The sequence below is a fragment of the Homo sapiens genome, chromosome 2 (genome assembly GCF_000001405.40).
Source record: "Homo sapiens chromosome 2, GRCh38.p14 Primary Assembly".
NCBI lineage: Eukaryota > Metazoa > Chordata > Mammalia > Primates > Hominidae > Homo > Homo sapiens.
In genome coordinates, this window is record NC_000002.12 from 172247772 (window position 1) to 172267085 (window position 19314).

The 19314-nt window shown below is 42.7% G+C and overlaps 1 long non-coding RNA gene across 2 annotated transcripts in view, besides 1 other annotated feature; it reads left to right on the top strand.

Annotated features, from left to right (window-relative positions):
- Nucleotides 1-2654: 2654 nt before the first annotated feature.
- Nucleotides 2655-19314, top strand: part of LOC107985960 (uncharacterized) — a 119748-nt gene continuing 103088 nt past the window's right edge. For both annotated transcript variants that reach the window (XR_001739773.3, XR_001739775.3), the window contains exon 1: nucleotides 2655-4862. This is a non-coding gene — a long non-coding RNA (uncharacterized LOC107985960). The remainder of the gene's footprint in view (nucleotides 4863-19314) is intronic.
- Nucleotides 5120-6319: an enhancer, noted in NCBI's record as "P300/CBP strongly-dependent group 1 enhancer chr2:173117619-173118818 (GRCh37/hg19 assembly coordinates)". NCBI's record gives its function as "activates an origin of replication core promoter dependent on BRD2, BRD4, P300/CBP, MED14 and CDK7 cofactors, with strong dependence on P300/CBP, by STARR-seq in HCT116 cells {active_cell/tissue: HCT116}" and the evidence as "EXISTENCE:reporter gene assay evidence [ECO:0000049][PMID:35650434]".

The window sequence follows — 19314 nt, forward strand, 5'->3', positions numbered from 1 at the left end:
CCTCTCAGCTGGGTCGGGGGGAACCCCTGATCTTCACCTCTATTTTGTTCTTTGTTTCATGGGTTCAGAGCAGTGAGACTTGGCTCCCAATGGCTTACAAATTTTTAGGCCAACCACTCTTTCCATCTTATTTGGTGTTCCTAGAATGCAGCTGGGAGTCCAGGGCACTGTATCCTCTGATTCCAGGTCTCAGTCACTGATCCAGGTTATGGCCTGACTCTCTTTCTCTTTGGGAGGACTCTTTCCTAGGAGACCTATTGGTAATAATATGCTGGGGGCAGGCACTGGCTATAGGCTTTGCCCCTTGACCTTACAGAAACCTTTGTATAACCTTATGAAGTCGATAGAAGGATGAAGCACTAGACTGGGGATCAGGAAGCCTGGAAGCCCTCTGGTGGCTTTCCAGTTGCTGTTGTTTTTAGTTTAATATATTACTTTCTTTAACTGAAATCATTCAAGAAGCCCAGCATGTAAAACAAATATGGCTGGAGCTGCTCTGGATGCAAACAGGGTCAATGTGAGGAGTCCTACAACTCAGCCACCCTTTCCCTGGGCAGCTGGGCCCTGAGTTTTTTCTGGGGAAGGATAGCCAAAACACAGCTCCCAGAGCACCCAGTCTCACCCAGAACACAGGTGAGCTTCCGGGTACATCAGAGGTACATTTCCCACCCAGAAGGGATGCAAGTTCATTTTCACACAGGCCAAAAAGAAACCCAGTTTTATCTGGTGGTGATTTATTCTTTCTCTCCCTAGCCACTTCTCTTGAGCCGAGTCTCCAGCCTCTGTGGGTTTAATCTCTTACTAATCCTCCACCTCCCCTCCAGCATCTTTAGCTGACACTCTTTCCTCCTGGCAGATGATCACCACAGGCCTTTAAGGGATGGTAAAATGAGCCAGGAAATAATCAGAGGCCCCAAGGCTGCTTTAGGTGATGTTTGTTGGGTCTCACCCCCACTTCCTCGGAGCTTCAGGTTTTCCATTCAAGCTCATGGATGCCACACCCGGGGCATTCCAGCTGAGCTCTTTGTAGCTAGCTGAGCCAGAGTTTGTAGACAGCTGGAGAAAAAAATGTGCTGAAGAAGCAAGACCTCCATGCTGTCATCCTGTTGGGACTCACCCCAATAGCCTCAGCCGGCTCTAGCTTTAGTGGGTGCTGAGATGGTCTGCCCTGAGCAGTGAAAAATGTCAGGGGAGTGAGCAACAACAAAAGCCTGCATCCTTTCTCTCACTCCATCCTGGAGTTGAGAATGACTGCAGAATGAGCAACTATCCAGGATACAGGATATACTTGTCAAAGTGAGAAAGGTACCTACAGGCCATTTGGAATGACTCATGAGATTCCTACCTGATAAAGGAATGTCTCAGCCCTTCCTGGATATGTATTAGGGGATGCTTAACTCTAGAAAACCCTCCTCAAATGCCACAGATGGCAAACTCCAGGCTGTGTGTGTTTTCCAAGTAGGGAAAACCAAGGATATAGAAGGCGAGCTGCATTCTAAAATGATACTGAGACACATGTTTTCAAGTGCAGATTCTGGATTAAAATGGTATTAAATGAAATAAGCAGGAGGCTATTGGCTTGAGGCTGAGTCTGTACTTTGAGTCTTTAATTAACAAACTGCAACCTAGTTTAGTAAGTAAACAAATTGGAAGTCTAATAGGAGCATAACAGTGGAGTCTCAGCCAATCACAAGCAGCCATGCTTTAGCCAATCACAGGAAGCTGATTGATCAGACCATGTCCAAACAAGACAAATGCTGAGATGTAACCAATAAAGCTCTTTCTGTCCTTTACTTCCTGTTCTGTTTATAAATACTGCCCACACTGCAGAGTGAATTTCTCTGAATCTCTTCTAGTTAAGTGCTGCCCAATTCATGAATCATTCTTTGCTTCCAAAAACTGTTAAATTTAATTTATCAAAAGCTTTTCTTTTAAAAATGTCTGTTGGCCGGGCGCAGTGGCTCGTGCCTGTAATCTCAGCAGTTTGGGAGGCTGAGGTGGGCGGATCATGAGGTCAGGAGATCAAGACCATCCTGGCCAACATGGTGAAACCCCGTCTCTACTAAAAATACAAAAAAATTAGCCACATGTGGTGGCACACACCTGTAGTCCCAAATACTCAGGAGGCTGAGGCAGGAGAATTGCTTGAACCTGGGAGGTGGAGGCTGCAGTGAGCTGAGATCATGCCACTGCACTGCAGCCTGGTGACAGAGTGAGACTCTGTCTCAACAACAACAACAACAACAACAACAAAAAGCTGTTGACTCTGGGGAGACTGTTCTTAGAGTGTGGCCACTTGCCTGCTCTTCCTGAAACTCCATGACTGATGATTCTTTTCATGGCCCCTCCTTGGCTGGAAGCTCTGGGCCCCTGATGAGTAACCATAAGTCACATTTCCATAGCAGTTTGTGGTTCTGGAAGCACTTTCTCATATTTACTGGGCAGTGTTAAGTGCAGATAATGGAGATCACTTAAGTAGTTTAAGCAGAAAAGGACTGATATAAGGAATTAGGTACTTACAACATGGCTGGAAGGGCTGGAGGAGGCTTCAGCATGGACCTCCAGGATGATTCCCACAGCTGTGTTCCAGAACTGGCCTGCCATTACAGCATCTGCCTATGCCACAATCAGGAAGCCACTGCCAGAAATGTTGGGTCCAAGAATGCATTACCTTTGTTTTGAGTTGGAGATCAGTGCTGTTGGCTCCATAGCCATGTGACTGTAGCTCTGATCTATACTAGCAGAATGCATACTTCATCCCTGCCCCTCTCCCTTCTCAGCTATCTACATTTCAGCCCTGTTCAAGGATATTTGATTGGTAGAACCCAAACCACCTAGGAGACGTAGTTGCAAGGGAGTATGGAAACTAGGTTTTAGCTTACTAGTCTCTTCGGTACAGGAAGGTACACTAGAAAGTTGGAATAGACATACATTCTGCATCTGCCATCCCATATACCTCATTTAATATTTGCAGAAAATCTAGAGAGTGACAGGAGAGGTGTTAGCCTCATTCAGCACATGAATAAACAGGGGAGTAATGAGGCTAGAAGAGAATGGCAGGGAGACAGAAAGACCCGGACTGTTGCTTTGAGCAAATAATATTCGTGTTGGGGGTTGAAGAGTATTAGGGGTTAAACTAGATGAAGGGCTGAGCAGGAACGATATTCTAGGCAGGAGGAATGCATGCGCGTAAAGGTGCTGAGACTGGAGGGAACATGATACAATCACGGAACTGAAAGACAAAGGGGGCGTGACTGTAGAGGGGGCAAAGTGGCTGCAAAATGAGGCTAGAGAAGCACCAGAGACAGACAGGCAAGCACCAGAGAGAGACAGGCAAGCACCAGAGAGAGAAAGGCAAGCCCCATTAAGAATTTCGTCTTTTTCCTAGAGCAATGGGAAGGCATTCAAAGGTTTATAGATGGGAAAGGTGTGTGGGACTTGATCATGTTTGCACTACAGGGTCACTGGCTGTTCTGTGTCTCCTGACTCCATGCATGTACTCACCATAGTCCACAATTTGACACCAAACGGTCACTCTCCTGTATTACTAAAGTGGTTTCATTTTTGCATCATTCCCACTTCTTTACTCCAAGCAACAGGAGGAAAAAACAACAGCAAGAGGTCTACAAATCTGGGAAGGTATAAATAGGAGTTTTTGCATTTGTATAAATAAAAGCCTCTGAAGGAAACCATTAATTTCCTCTGTAGCTGCTTTGGAATGTTAGTGAGGGCATTTGGTGCGAACTGTTTGAAAATGCTTCTACATATTGTTCTGTGGGTGGAGATCAACGAGGTATGGAAATGAATCAGCAAGCAAGGCCTCTAATGGTGCTTCTGGTCCTGCAAAAATTGACTGGTTGCTGGGCTGCCTCAGCTCCCCACCGTGAGGGACAGGTACTGTTTCAGCTTGGTGGAGTGGCTTCTCTCCTCTTGCCAGTCAGCAACCCAGGGGCTTGGGAACATATGGTTGAGGCCTGTTTCAAAGAGATCAAAAATCAAAAATTTTAAAAACCTCTCAGATGTACAACTGTACTCCAAAAAGGTCGCACCTTTATAAAGGAATCTGCCCCTGAGAGTCTCAGGACTCAGCTTCCTCCTGAAGCTAGCCAACTCTGCTAGCACCTTCTTCACCACGTATGAACACAGTGTATGAACACGGTATCCGGCACAGTTTCACCTAGCTGGAGACCTAGGCTCTGAGTCCTAGCTTCCTAACCAGGCTGTGAGCGCTCTGAAGGAAGGGCTCACTCCATTTATATCTTCATATTCATTAAACACCTAGGTCAGTGGATTCATAGTCTGAGCTCAGAATATTCACTAATCCCGAGACTGTTGGCTTTCTGTGGTCATGGTTGCCATTGGGTGGGGCGTCCATGGACCCCAGGCTAAGCACTTTGCTTAGGCTAAGTTCCCAACAGTGCTGCTCAGCAGTGGACCTCTTTCTGATTCTCTCAAGCCTATACACTGAGGGGTTGTCCACACTGCCTCTGAGAGCAGTGGGCAGGCAAAGGAAGTGTGCTTTGTGAGGTCACCCGTGGGGACAGTGAGTGCAAGCAGCTGCAGTCCTCATGGGCCGCCAGCCTCCCGCTTCCTGCAGAGGCGCCCAGAGCTGGAGCTGGTCTGCGCATGCACTTGGAGGCACGGTATGAACAACCGCAGAAATGCCGGCCAACTACGCCAGTTCCCAGAGCCCAGCGTTCTCCTCTCTCCTCTTTCATTGGTTTCCCAGGAAAGCTGCTGAGGGCGGGAACCCCAGATGCACAGTTTGGCTCATAAGCGGGCTGCCTTTCACAGCCACCACTACCCACCCGGGGAGAGCACTGGATTGTGGCAAACGGGACCTCTTTGTGTGAGCAACCAAGGTGTGTTGGGTTTGGTGCTCCAAGGCAAACTTCTTTGCTCAATTGAAACAGCCCCTGGTCATCTCTGCTTCTCCATCTATAGCCACCCCGTGAGAATAAAAACTCCAGAGAGTCCTTTCTATTTACATTTAGGGAATTCTAAAAGAAAGGTACAAGAAGCCAAAGGATTATCCGTGTTTGTCCTTAGAAAAAGAGGTAACAATGCAATTTTTAAAACCCTAAAAGATTAATGAAATAAAACATTACAGATAGATACAGCAGTCAAATGCAAAGAAACAGAGAATAGTGGTTACCAGGGGCTGGGGGAGAGGGGAATGGAGAGCTATTGTTTAATGAATATGAACTTTGAGTTTGGGAAGATGAAAAATTTCTGAAGAGGGATAGTGGCGATGTTTGCACAGCAGTGTGAATGGACTTAATGTTGCTGAACTATACACTTAAAAACGGTTAAAATAGTAAATTGTATGTTGTGTATATTTTGCCATAATAAAAATTTTTCAGAAACCATTATGAACAGAGCATTGTCTCAATGAGGAGACACTAAGCTTGTTGACTTTTATCTTGGGTGCTCTCTGTGTATGTGTATTTATATTAAAAGTAACCAGTTTCCTGAAAACACAAAACCCATTCCTGGCCAACAGGCTCTTTTCCTGTGCTTTTGTGCATTCTGAAGCTGTCTTCATAATGTGTTGGTCAGGAAGTGGGTGACTCATGGGGCCTTTATGACAGACCCTTGAGTCACACACACACACACACACACATACACACAGACACACGTGAGTCACCCCTACAGGCTTCTAGGACAGGCAGCGATTTAGATGCCAGAGTGATGTGCCTGGGGCATGGCGGGAGGCAGCCTGGCGCCCATTGCCAGGCACATTCCTGGGAGCCTCTCCCATGGTTTAGTAATAAATGGAAGCTGTGGCCACAGCTCCCAACTCCAGGCCCAGCAATAGCTGTTTCTCTGACTTTTAAGGACAACCCAAATGGTGGCAGGAGGGGAGAGCAGTTGGTATTGGAAACGCCCAGTGGCCGCTGGGCTGCTGTGAGTGGCGCCTGTTTTGGCGATGTGAGTGGCGCTGGGTGTAGGCCTCTGAATCTGCCGGTGCGTGGTGGCAAGAGCAGGTCAATCACAGGGTGATCTTACGTCTTCCCGGGGGTCGTGAATCGGGTTGGGAGCCACTCAGTTATATAAACAAATGGAGGACTGATCTAGACCTTAGGAGACCTGGTTTAGACTTTGATCTGCCACTAGCTTGTTTTGTTACCATGGTAAATCACATAAACTCTCTGGCCTTGGGTTCCTTGTCTTTAAAGTGAGGGAGTTGGATTAGATCAGGATTGGCTGGCACACAGCTCCTGTGCCACCCGTCCCTCCAGTTCCTGAGGCAACAATGTTCACTGCCCTCTGAGCCCACATGGCAGCTCCTGGTCCTTCTTAGATGGCCTTCTCTTTCTATTCTGTTAATTGGAGTTAGCATCTGAAATGACACCTATTTGCTATCCTGAAAGCTGATATGCTGGTTCTCAACTTTGCCTATAAATTAGAATCACTGGAGAGCTTTTAGCAAATACAGGTGTCTGAATCCTACCCATATGGATTCTGATTTAATTATTCTGGGATGAGACCCAGGCATTGATAAATTTTAAAAGCTCTCTAGGGGATTCCAGTGTGTAGCCAGGAATGAGGGTCACTGGACGAGATGACCACTACAGGGGCCTAACAGTCAGTCACTTTGTGATCAGCTGTTGGCATGAAGATGACAGGAATGATTGGGCTGGTTGAGCCGAGCTCTGCTGGCAAGAACATTAGGGGATCAGGAGACTTGGTTCTCATTTCTAGTTTGCATTCCTAATTTGCTTGTGATTTTGGGTGAGTTATTTATTCTTTTTAGCTTTAGTTCCCACATGTATAAACTGGGAGTAATAATCTCTTGAGCTTCCTACCTCACCATATTCTTAAGAGGAAGAAAGAAATGTTAATAGATGTATAAGAGAAAAGTGCTACAGAAAGTGCTACGTAAATTATTCCATTTTTATAACCCACATACCCCAAAATACTCTTCTAAAATTTGAAATAAAAAATTTTGAATCCATCCCTTGTGGGGAATTATGAAGATTCAGTGAGGTGGCATATACAACAGTCCCTAGCCTGGTAGGTGTGCAAGCAATGCTTGTTTGAATGAACATTTTGATGGAGGTTACTGAAACACCAAATCACAGAGTTCTGTGTGCCTTCAAAGGAAGAGGAAGCTCATTTCTGTGGCTGTTTTGTTAGAACTGGTCCTTTATTTGAGTTTTCTAAAGTAAAAATTATGCATGTAATGCCTGAAATATTCTCAGTATGAAATATTCCGGCTGGGAACAGTGGCTCATGCCTGTAGTCCCAGCACTTTGGGAGGCTGAGGCAGGCAGATCTCCTGAGCTCAGGAGTTCAAGACCAGCCTGGGCAATATGGCCAAACCCTGTTTCTACAAAAAATTAGCTGGGTGTGATGGTGCACACCTGTAGTCCCAGCTACTCAGGAGGCTGAGGTGGAAAGATTGCTTGAGCTGCCTGGGAGGTGGATATTGCAGTGAGCCACGATTGCACTGCTGTACTGCAGCCTGGGCAACAGAGTGAGACCCTGTCTCCAAAAAAAAAAAAAAAAAAAAATCAAATGATAAATAAAAAGAGCAAAATTTGAAAGCCCTCTTAACCTCCTCCACCCCACCACTCCCCTCTCCAGAAGCAATCACTGATGGTGATTGAATTGTATCTGTTCAAGCTCTATATATTTACAATACACACACACACCCATATTAAATTTTTTTTAAGAAATGGGGTCATATATGTTATTCTGCAATTTGCTTAACAATATGTTTTAGGGCTCTTTCCATGATCTCTGGCAAGTTACTTAACCCTTCACATGCCTTAATCTCCTCATCTGTAAATGGGGATAATAATATAAGATCATTATAAAGATTGTATTAGTTAATATTTGTAAAGTGCTTAAAATAGTGACTACCACTGTTCCATGGTTAAGCTCACAATAACTCTTATAGAAATTTTCTTCCCCTAAATAAATGTCTATTAGATAACAATTTAAAAATAAAAATTTCTGTATTTTCATTTGTGCTGGACTTAGATCTGATTGCAAAAAATACCATCAAGTCGAAATTTGGTAAAGAGGTTGTTTTGAAAGTAGGTAGATAGGTTACTGACCTTTCATATTTCACATAATGAATGATGGACCCAAGAGCATCCCTAGAGACCTTCATTCAACTTCTGCAGCTCGGTTTCTCTGCTGGAAAGTGAGGTATGATATTATCCACTAGGCAAGAGGTGCCAGGGGGAACTGGACTCAAAGTGGTGACCAGCTCACGGTGGGCAGCTGATGACGCCACAAAGCATTGGCCTGCACGGCTGAGGAGCATTAGGTCGTGACCTTGTTTCCAACCTCTCTCCGGGTTTTCTGAGGGAAGGTACAAAAGAGGTGAAAGTGTTGGCATTTTGCCTCTAGGAAGAATTTTGATTAAGGATAAACATATTCCAAGATGCTGTGAAGTTGAAGTCACATGAATGCTAAGTGATTTCTTGGCATCAGAAATCAATCTCTTTCATGTCAGTCCTAAAAAAATAAACACTTTTACCTTCTTTGGTACCAGGAATAGCCAGAGAGGCTTCAGCTATTACAGCAAAAGCTTTTAAAATAATTACTTCTAGAATACGATAATATTAGTGATTAGCTTTGTGTGAAAATTGAAGAGATAAGTAGTTAAATACTAGGAATAATAAATCTTGGAAGTGTCATTGTGTAATAAGTTTGCCCTTTAAAAGTATCACTTTTCAATGATTTTGTTCATAGTGAATCTTTCAGAAAAAAGTCTTCACTGAATCCTTTTTCTATGATTAAGGTGAGTTCTTAAAGTGATCTTTGATTTTCATACATTAGAGTCAGATTCCTTCAAAACAAAATTTTTTTTTAAATGGTAATTGCACTCTCATTTACGTCAGTCCTAAAATAGTGCTTAAATAGTACCTTTCTATGTTCTGGCCACTGTGCATGCACAATCTTATTAACTCTGCAAATAGCCCTATGGAGTGAGTATCACTATTACCACCCCATACTAGAGACGGAGAAACTGAGGCTTAAAGAGGTTAAGAAAGCCAGATCTGCCTATTTGGGAACAAAAATTTCTAACTGGTTGTTCCATAAGCCAGATAATTATGTCAATGAGATAAATTACTGCAAGGGTCTGGATTTGCCACACGTCAGATTAACCCCCTGAATCATCAGTTATGTATAGTAAAAAGTGTGTGTAAAAAAGTGAAGGATAAATGGGGTGGGAGGAATGGAAATCTGGTAGACCTTATAAAATACAACTGTACTGGAAAAGCTGCTTCTCCAAGTGACTTGCTTTTCCCGGGGCACAGATTGGCTCAAAGAGGGTGGAGGCAGCTGGCAGCTTCTCTTGGCAGACCAACAGGGCTGGCTGTGGGGAGGCCCCTGGGAAGAGCAAATCCCTGTCTGCTGGGAATGTTGGTTTTGTAATTAAATTAAGGGTAAGGGAAACTATACTGAAAATTCTGCTTGGTGGCTCAGAATTTGAACTTCACTGCTTCTGTTTGTTGTTGCTGTAGCTAGTATAATAAAAATTCAGAATTTTTCTTTTCTCTCTTTTTTTTTGAGACTGGAGTCTCGCTCTGTCGCCCAGGCTGGAGTGCAGTGGCGCGATCTTGGCTCACTGCAAGCTCTGCCTCCCGGGTTCACGCCATTCTCCTGCCTCAGCCTCCCGAGTAGCAGGGACTACAGGCACCTGCCACCATGCCCAGCTAATTTCTTTTTGTATTTTTAGTGGAGATGGGGTTTCACCATGTTAGCCAGGATGGTCTTGATCTCCTGACCTCGTGATCCGCCCGCCTCGGCCTCCCAAAGTGTCTTTTTTCTTTTTAAGGACAGTTATGAGGTAGAAATTCAAAAAAGTCCATATAAGCTGGGCATGGTGGCTTACGCCTGTGGTCCCAGCACTTTGAGAGGCCAAGGTGGGTGGATCACTTGAGGTCAGGAGTTCGAGACCAGCCTGGCCAACATGGTGAAACCCTGTCACTACTAAAAATACAAAAACTAGCCAGGCATGGTGGTATGTGCCTGCAATCCCAGCTACTCTGGAGGCTGAGGCAAGAGAATCACTTGAACCCAGGAGGTGGAGGTTGCAGTGAGCCGAGATCACGCCACTGCACTCCAGCCTGGGCAACAGAGCGAGACTGCATCTTAGAAAAACAAACAAACAAACAAACAAAAACTAAAGAAGTCTACATTTGCTTTAACTCTCTCCCCCACCTTCCACAATTATACACAAGAGTTAGTTGTAGACATGCTAAAACTTTACCCCTTCAGCATATATCTCCTAAAAGCAAGTCATTTTCCTGTCATCTCTTACAATATAACATTGATGATTGATAGAATGCCGTTATCCAATATATGGCACACATTGAAATTTCCCAGTTGTCCCAATAATGTTTTTTATAGAATTTTAAAACAATTTCTGATCCAGGATCCAATCAAGGTCATGCATTGCAGTTATTTTTAGGTCTCTTTAGCTTCCTTTAATCTGGAACATTTCTTGACATTTTTTTTTCATTCTTGATGTCACTGACGTTTTTGAAGTGTCCAAGTGAGTTGCTTTATAGCATGTCTCTCAATTTGGATTCAACAGACTGTTTTCTTTTTTTGAGACAGAGTCTCGCTCTGTCGCCCAGGCTGGAGTGCAGTGGCGCAATCTCCACTCACTGCAAGCTCCACCCCTCCGGGTTCACGCCATTCTCCTGCCTCAGCCTCCCGAGTAGGTGGGACTACAGGGGCCCACCACCATGCCTGGCTAATTTTTTTGTATTTTTAGTAGAGACGGGGTTTCACTGTGTTAGCCAGAATGGTCTCGATCTCCTGATCTCGTGATCTGCCCACCTCGGCCTCCCAAAGTGCTGGGATTACAGGCGTGAGCCACCGCACCCAGCCTCAACAGACGGTTTTCTAATTTTAAATTCATGAGACTCAGTTGAGACAGTCAAGTGACCTAGCTGGCATTTTTTATATACGTGTTATTTACATGCAAATATAAATGTAGAATGATACACTATAAAATTCATGTAAGTACATGATAAGAACATTTAAATGATTTAAAAAGTACAAAGTAACAAGAGAAGTTCCTTTGTCAATGGTGACAACATTAACAGGTTTTTGTGTTCTATCCTGAAACACATTTATGTATATACCAGCCATATCCCTCTCCATGTTTAACAAAAGGAGGCGGGCAATAAAAGGCACAGACGCTGTGGTCCAGTAAAGGGCCATTCCCAGGGCGGAATGAACCTTGTAGTTTTTCCTGGCTTGATGAGCATCGCATGTGACTGCTTTCCATCCCCGTTGTGAGAAGCCTTCGTGAGCTTGTATTGAGACAGCAACCTTTTGCTGACTAATACCAACCAAGGGCAGTATACTTGATATTACCTAGTCAAATATAACCCTTATGGGGTTGATTGGAGAAAACTGGTGGTCAATTAACTCTGAGAAGCATTTAACGAAGTACAAGATTATAAGCTGAACTCAGGAATGGCAGCCTTTGCTAAAAGTAAGGGTTAGGATGGTTTCCTTTTTTTTTTTTTTTCCAAAAAAACCTCAGGCTCTCTTTAAAAATATGATAAAATTCATGACATAAAATTTACCATCAGAGACATTTAGTACATTCTCAATGGTGTGCAACCATCAGTGTGATCTAGTTCCAAAATATTTTCATCGCCCCAAAAGGAAACCTTGTATCTGTTAGCAGTCACTCTGATTTCTCTCTCCCGTCAGTCCTTGTTAACCAGGAATCTGCTTCTATCTCTATGGATTTGCCAATTTGGCATTTCACAGAATCATACAATATGTGGCCTTCTGTGACTTGAAAACACATAATGTTTTCAAGCTTCATCTATGTTGTTGCGTGTATCAGCACTTCATTCCTTTTCCTGGCTGAATAGTGTGGCTAAATGTGGCATGGATAACCACCTTGTAAAATCCATTCATCAGTCGATGGCCTATTTCTAAATATTGCTGTAAACCTTGGATTGAAGGGAGCCTCCTGCATAGGAGTTTTAAAATCACAAAATCATGAACTGTCAACAGTCTCCTTAGGTCAGCAGTTAAGTATGCCAAAAAATAAATTGTTTAAAAATCATCAGGTCCCTGCTACTAACAGCCGATAGTGCTCTGAAAGGTAAAAGGCAGAAGGACTTGTCCAGAATGTAGAGGCTTTAGGATCTGTGACAATAGTGATCTGTCTTCTTACACCACTAACCTCCTCTGCAGCCCCTCTTGGGTGATAGGCCCTGAGACATCCAAGCTGCTGAAATAATCCCGAGTCTTGAGTCAGATGGAGCAGAATGGTCGCTCCTCACAGGGCAGCTTAGGGAAGGGGCAGCCACAGGCACCTCAGGTGATGCTGGTTCCCTCGTTACTGCAGATATGTGCTTCCCTTTTCTGTGTATCATTAGAAAAAAACCCAGAAAACATCCTCATCTTTGAACAAAAGATTTAAGAATTTCTCTTGTGAATAAGATATTGCTGGCTGCTTACTTCAACCTAGATCTTTACTGTGGTTGTGTGTGTCTAGAATCATCTAGACAGGGATTAGCAAGAAACTCTTTAAGAATTCATGTGCTGGCTAATGATGGAAAATCCCGGGATTTAAAAGGAGCAGGGGAAAAACCGCCTGACTTGCTTTCTAGACAGATGCAAAATCTTCACCTTCCCTAAACGTCTTGAGTCCCATCGTGGGGCAGGGAGTGAAGGAAGGCCAAGCCCTAAGAGCAGGAAGATATGTCAAATTGCTGAGACCTTGGTGGCCCTGAGCATTGTTTAAGAGAAGAAGCCTGACAAAGAATAATCGATTGCCCCCTCTTCCTCCCCAGCTTGTCTCAGCTTTTCCATACTTAGCATTTTAAAGACTTGAACAAGAAAGGAGAGCCTGCAGGGAGCCGAAATCAGTGTAGCTGGCCTTTCATATCCTCAGGTTCTGCATCCCTGGATTCAACTAACCGAGGATTGAAAATATTCGAAAAAGAGAATTGTGTCTGTATTGAACTGTACAGACTTTTTTCCTTGTCATTATTTCCCAAACAATATACTACAACTATTTACAGAGCATTGACATTGTAATAGGTATTATAAGTAATCTAGAGATGATTTAAAGTATACAAGAGGATGTCTGTAGGTTATATGCAAATATTACACCATTTTATAGAGGGAACTTGAGCATCCTTGAATTTTGGTGTCTGAGGTTGCGGGTCCAGGAAACAATCAGACAGTGAGGGAGGACTGTCTAGGCAACAAGAAAAAGGGCATCCTGAAAGGGGGCCTAAGGCCCGCTTTCTGTACTTTTGATGGTGTAAATCTGATGCTCTGGAGAGATTGTTTTTTGTTTCCCCAGCCAACTGTGCCCTCCTCACCCATGTCCTTTTCTCTCTTTTGTCATTTATCCACCCATTCTTTTCTTTTCAAGTCCTTCTCAAAATCCTGACAGTTACATCCCTCCTTGGCTAAGACATTCACTAGCAGGTGGGGCTTTCTTCCTTCTCCATGGACCACAGCTGCCCATGACCAATACATCAAGTTCTGTATCCGTTGTCTTTCCAAAGCCTCTAGGTCAAGGCCAGCTAGTGCAGAAGGAGGAAAATACTTTCTGGTTACCTGTCTTTAGCTTTAAAGGTTCTGGAATATTAAAAACAATCAGCACAGGCTTTTCTACAGCATGTTTTTGAGACCCACTTGAGAATTTGGGTGGGGTTCGAAGAAACCAAATGTCTGGCCTATCCCAGGGGATATTAGTCACCCAAATGATGTTTCAGGATATAAAAACATATTAGACAAGTTCATACATGGGAGTAAGTGTCAGAATGGCCACTCCTTGTTGAAGCTTGAGGTTTTAAAATTCTGATCTACTTTCTCAAAGAGTTTGTTTGTTTTAAAACTAAAAAGGCCAATGGAGAATAATTCTGGGAACTTTTTGAACATAATTTTTTTACTAAGGTGTAATAACAATTGAGAAAAAGGGAAGGGGAGTGCAAGAAAGAGGTAGGCATGTCAAATATAGGTATAGACCCCAAACATCATCTCTGCATTAACTTGTGTACCATCTGCAGTTGGATGGCTGGGTTGGACTCTGGTCTTTGTATGTCAGGAGAGACTGAGAAAAATTTTAGAGAAAGACAAGCCTGGAGCCAAAGGGGCCATGGGGCTTTGGTATATACAAAAGGGGTTGCATTAGTATAATCTCAAGTTCTGAAAAGTTGGGCCGCTTCACAGAGTAAATTGCTGGACTTATTAAAGGCTATGAAGCAAATCAGTTACCCCAAAGGCCCTGGAAAAGTTGACAGGCTCCTAGTCACCAAATTCAGGAAGACTCAAGCAAGAAAGTCCTTGAGTCCTGATGGGACTAGATTCAGCCAATTAGAAAAAAAGTTTCTGTGTATAGAGACTGCTCAAATGTAAACAAAAAGATCCCAAATAATTGTGCAGGTTGGACAAGGAGACATTCTAAAAGAAAAAGTGGCTTTTATTTAAAAAAAAAAAAAAGGAATAAAGCTTATATTCTTCCAAGTCAGCATTGAGAGATGATTCCAGCAGCTAATGTTCCCATTCCTCTGGAGTTGTACCATCCATTATGGAAGCCATTAGCCATACGTAGTTACTGAGCACTCCAAATTGATGTGCATTGCGAGTATAATATACACACTGGATTTCAAAGACTTACCATGAAAAAAAGAATGTAAAATGTCTCATCAATAATTTTTTCATGTGGATTTGTTAAAGTAACATTTTAGAAATATTGGGTTAAAACTATACTAAGATTAATTTCACCCCTTAAGTTATTTTAACATGGCTACTTACATGTAAAACTTACTTATGTGGCTTATGTTATATTCTTATTGAACAGCATTGCTTTAGAGTCCTTTGTTAATAAACACTCATAGTCATGCTTAAGGGGAATGCTTCTCCTTTGTTAACATCAACACAAGCATGTGTAGTATGGGCCTACAGCGTGTCTAGAATGCCTGAAAGTTGATTTACTGAAGGTCAGGGTCATGCCACTAGGGCAGAAACACAGAGGGTCTTGTTGATGAAAGCGATGGATTTTAACCTTTCTGGAGCTGCTTTAATTATGACCCAGCTCCCCTCACTTGCAGGGTTCTAGAAGTAGTAGGTATCTAATAGTAGCATTGGGTTCTATCATTTACAGCACGTAGAACAGAGTCCATAGTAGACACTTTATAAGCACTCACTGTTACACTTTTCTCTGTAAAAATTAAACTCTATATAAATGGGTTTCCCTGACACTAATAGAATTCTCCATGAGTGTTTTTGCCCCAGTTTTTAAATGTAGGGAACAATGGCCCCTACTTTGCCTATCTATAAGCTGTCAGGGCCTGCTATTGACTGGGTCTGGTGCTTGAACCAATGCTGGAATGCAGATGCTCTTTCTAGGGAGTAAGGTTTGGACACAGTCTGTGGTTCCCTATGCCACTCGCTGGGTGGCTAGGATTGATCTTATTTCTGGGGCACCTACTTAAGCATTTGATGTAGTCTCCTTGTCTTACTTCCCTCATGTCCTCTCTGAGACCCTTGTCCTTTTTTGCTCTGGACATCTTGGGTCATGGTGTTCATCATGCTTTGGATCCCCCTTTAGCTGAAATGCCACCCCACCAATCACATGGCCCCTGCTCAATAAATGTGGCCACGTCCAATGGCAATTAATTTAAAATAATACAGAAATTTGGTTTTTAGCCAGCTATTAGCAACTAGGTACTGTGGATCTCAACCGTTCAGCTACTATTAAGATCATCCAGATCAGTGGCTCTGAATGAGAGAGAAACTTTGTAATGACGTGGGTGCATCTTCAAAGGACCCATTCTTAGAAAACCTGGGACCCATTCTTAGAAATCCTGATTTCATGGGTCTGGGATGCTACCTTGGGATCTGTACTTTTAAAAAGATCCCAAAGGCCGGGTGTGGTGCCTCATACATATAATCCCAGCACTTTGGGAATCTAAAGTGGGAGGATTACTTGAGCCCAGGAGTTCAAGACTAGCCTGGGAAACATGATGAAACCGTGTCTCTGCTAAAAATACAAAAAATTAGCTGGGTGTGGTATTGCATCCCTGTAGTCCCAGCTACTCGGGAGGCTGAGGTAGGAGGATCACTTGAGCCTGGGAAGCAAAGGTTGCAGTGAGCTGAGATAGCATCACTGCATACCAGCATGGGTGACAGATGTGACCATATCTCAACAACAACAACAACAACAAAAATCTCCCAATATGACTCAGGTGAATGCACTTGATTAAGAATTACAAGTGAGATAACAATGGGAATACATATTTTCTATCATTTTGGGTGTTTAAAATAATTTTTGGTGTGAAGATTAGATGGCTAATATTTTAGTTCAAACTTCATAGCATAACCATTTGTAGATTTTATAAATTAGCATACTCCCTGGCACATAGCAAGCAATAACTAAAAGATTGCTGAATTGATGACTGTCTTAGTCCATTTGCACTGCTGTAACAAAATGCCTGAGACTGGGCAATTTATAAAGAACAGAAATTTATTTCTCACATTTCTGGAGACTGGGAAGTCCGAGATCAGAACAGCAATGAATTTGGTGTCTGGTGAGGATCTTCTTACTGAGTCCTCCCGTAGTAGAAGAGTGGAAGAGCAAAAAGTGGCCTAAGCTAGTTCCATTCAACCCTTTATAAGGCACTAATCCATTCATGAGCCCTCACTGAAGCGGCATCATTGTCTGGGGTAAATACCTGTGGTTCATCGTCTCGTGCAGAGAAGGTTAACAACATGGACATACACACATGGAGTGAGTTAAAGAGTAGAAAGTTTAATAGGCAGAAGAAAGGAGAGAGGAGACTAGCTTTCTTGTGAAAGAGAGCCGTCTGATAGGGAAACATGGCAGACTGCAGCAGATATTATAGGCAAGGTTGAGATGCAGTGTCTGATTTACGTAGGGCCCACAGATTGGTTCAACCCGGTGTCACGTTTATTTATTATTATTTTTTAAAATTATACTTGAAGTTCTAGGGTACATATGCACAATGTGCAGGTTTGTTACATAGGTATACATGTGCCATGTTGGTTTGCTGCATCCATCAACTCATCATTTACATTAGGTATTTCTCCTAACGCTCTCCCTCCCCCAACCCCCTACTCCCCAACAGGCCCTGGTGTGTGATGTTCCCCTTCCTGTGTCCAAGTGTTCTCGTTGTTCAATTCCCACTTATGAGTGAGAACATGTGGTGTTTGATTTTCTGTTCTTGTGTTAGTTTGCTGAGAATGATGGTTTCCAGCTTCACCCATGTCCCTATAAAGGACATGAACTCATCCTTTTTTATGGCTGCATAGTATTCCATGGTATATATGTGCCACATTTTCTTAATCCAGTCTATCATTGATGGGCATTTGGGTTGGTTCCAAGTCTTTGCTATTGTGAATAGTGCTGCAGTAAACATATATGTGCATGTGTCTTTAGAGTAGCATGATTTATAATCCTTTGGGTATATACCCAGTAATGGGATTGCTGGGTCAGATGGTATTTCTAATTCTAGATCCTTGAGGAATTGCCACACTGTCTTCCACAATGGTTGAAATAATTTACAATCCTAACAGTGTAAAAGTGTTCCTGTTTCTCCACATCCTCTCCAGCATCTGTTGTTTCCTGACTTTTTAATGATCGCCATTCTAACTGGTGTGAGATGGTATCTCATTGTGGTTCTGATTTGCATTTCTCTGATGACCAGTGATGATGGGCATTTTTTCATGTGTCTGTTGGCTGCATAAATGTCTTCTTTTGAGAAGTGTCTGTTCATATCCTTTGCCCACTTTTTGATGGGGTTGTTTGTTTTTTTCTTGTAAATTTGTTTAACTTCTTTGCAGATTCTGCATATTAGCCCTTTGTCAGATGGGTAGATTGCAAAAATTTTCTCCCATTCTCTGGTTGCCTGCTCACTCTGATGCTAGTTTCTTTTGCTGTGCAGAAGCTCTTTAGTTTAATTAAATCCCATTTGTCAATTTTGGCTTTAGTTGCCGTTGCTTTTGGTGTTTTAGTCATGAAGCCTTTGCCCATGCTTATGTCCTGAATGGTATTGCTTAGGTTTTCTTCTAGGGTTTTTATGGTTTTAGGGCTAACATTTAAGTCTTTGATCCATCTTGGATTAATTTTTGTATAAGGTGTAAGGAAGGGATCCAGTTTCAGCTTTCTACATATGGCTAGCCAGTTTTCCTAGCACCATTTATTAAATAGGGAATTCTTTCCCATTGTTGTTTTTGTCAGGTTTGTCAAAGATCAGATGGTTGTAGATGTGTGGTGTTATTTCTGAGGCCTCTGTTCTGTTCCATTGGTCTATATCTCTGTTTTGGTACCAGTACCATGCTGTTTTGGTTACTGTAACCTTGTAGTATAGTTTGAAGTCAGGTAGCGTAACGCCTCCAGCTTTGTTCTTTTTGCTTAGGATTGTCTTGGCAATGCAGGCTCTTTTTTGGTTCCATATGAACTTTAAAGTAGTTTTTTCCAATTTTGTGAAGAAAGTCATTGGTAGCTTGATGGGGATGGCATTGAATCTATAAATTGCCTTGGGAAAGTATGGCCATTTTCACAATATTGATTCTTCCTATCCATGAGCATGGAATGTTCTTCCATTTGTTTGCATCCTCTTTTATTTCGTTGAGCAGTGGTTTGTAGTTCTCTTTGAAGAGGTCCTTCACATCCCTTGTAAGTTGCATTCCTAGGTATTTTATTCTCTTTGTAGCAATTGTGAATGGGAGTTCACTCATGATTTGGCTCTCTGTTTGTCTGTTATTGGTGTATAGGAATGCTTGTGATTTTTGCACATTGATTTTGTATCTTGAGACTTTGCTGAAGTTGCTTATCAGCTTAAGGAGACGTTGGGCTGAGAGGATGGGGTTTTCTAAATATACAATCATGTCATCTGCAAACAGGAACAATTTGGCTACCTCTTTTCCTAATCAAATACCCTTTATTTCTTTCTCTTGCCTGATTGCCCTGGCCAGAACTTCCAACACTATGTTGAATAGGAGTGGTGAGAGAGGGCATCCTTGTCTTGTGCTGGTTTTCAAAGGGAATGCTTCCAGTTTTTGCCCATTCAGTATGATATTGGCTGCGGGTTTATCATAGATAGCTTTTATTATTTTGAAATACGTTCCATCAATACCTAGTTTATTGAGAGTTTTTAGCATGAAGGGCTGTTGAATTTTGTCGAAGGCCTTTTCTGCATCTATTGAGATGATCATGTGTTTTTTGTCATTGGTTCTGTTTATGTGATGGATTATGTTTATTGATTTGTATATGTTGAACCAGCCTTGCATCCCAGGGATGAAGCCAACTTGATCATGGTGGATAAGCTTTTTGAT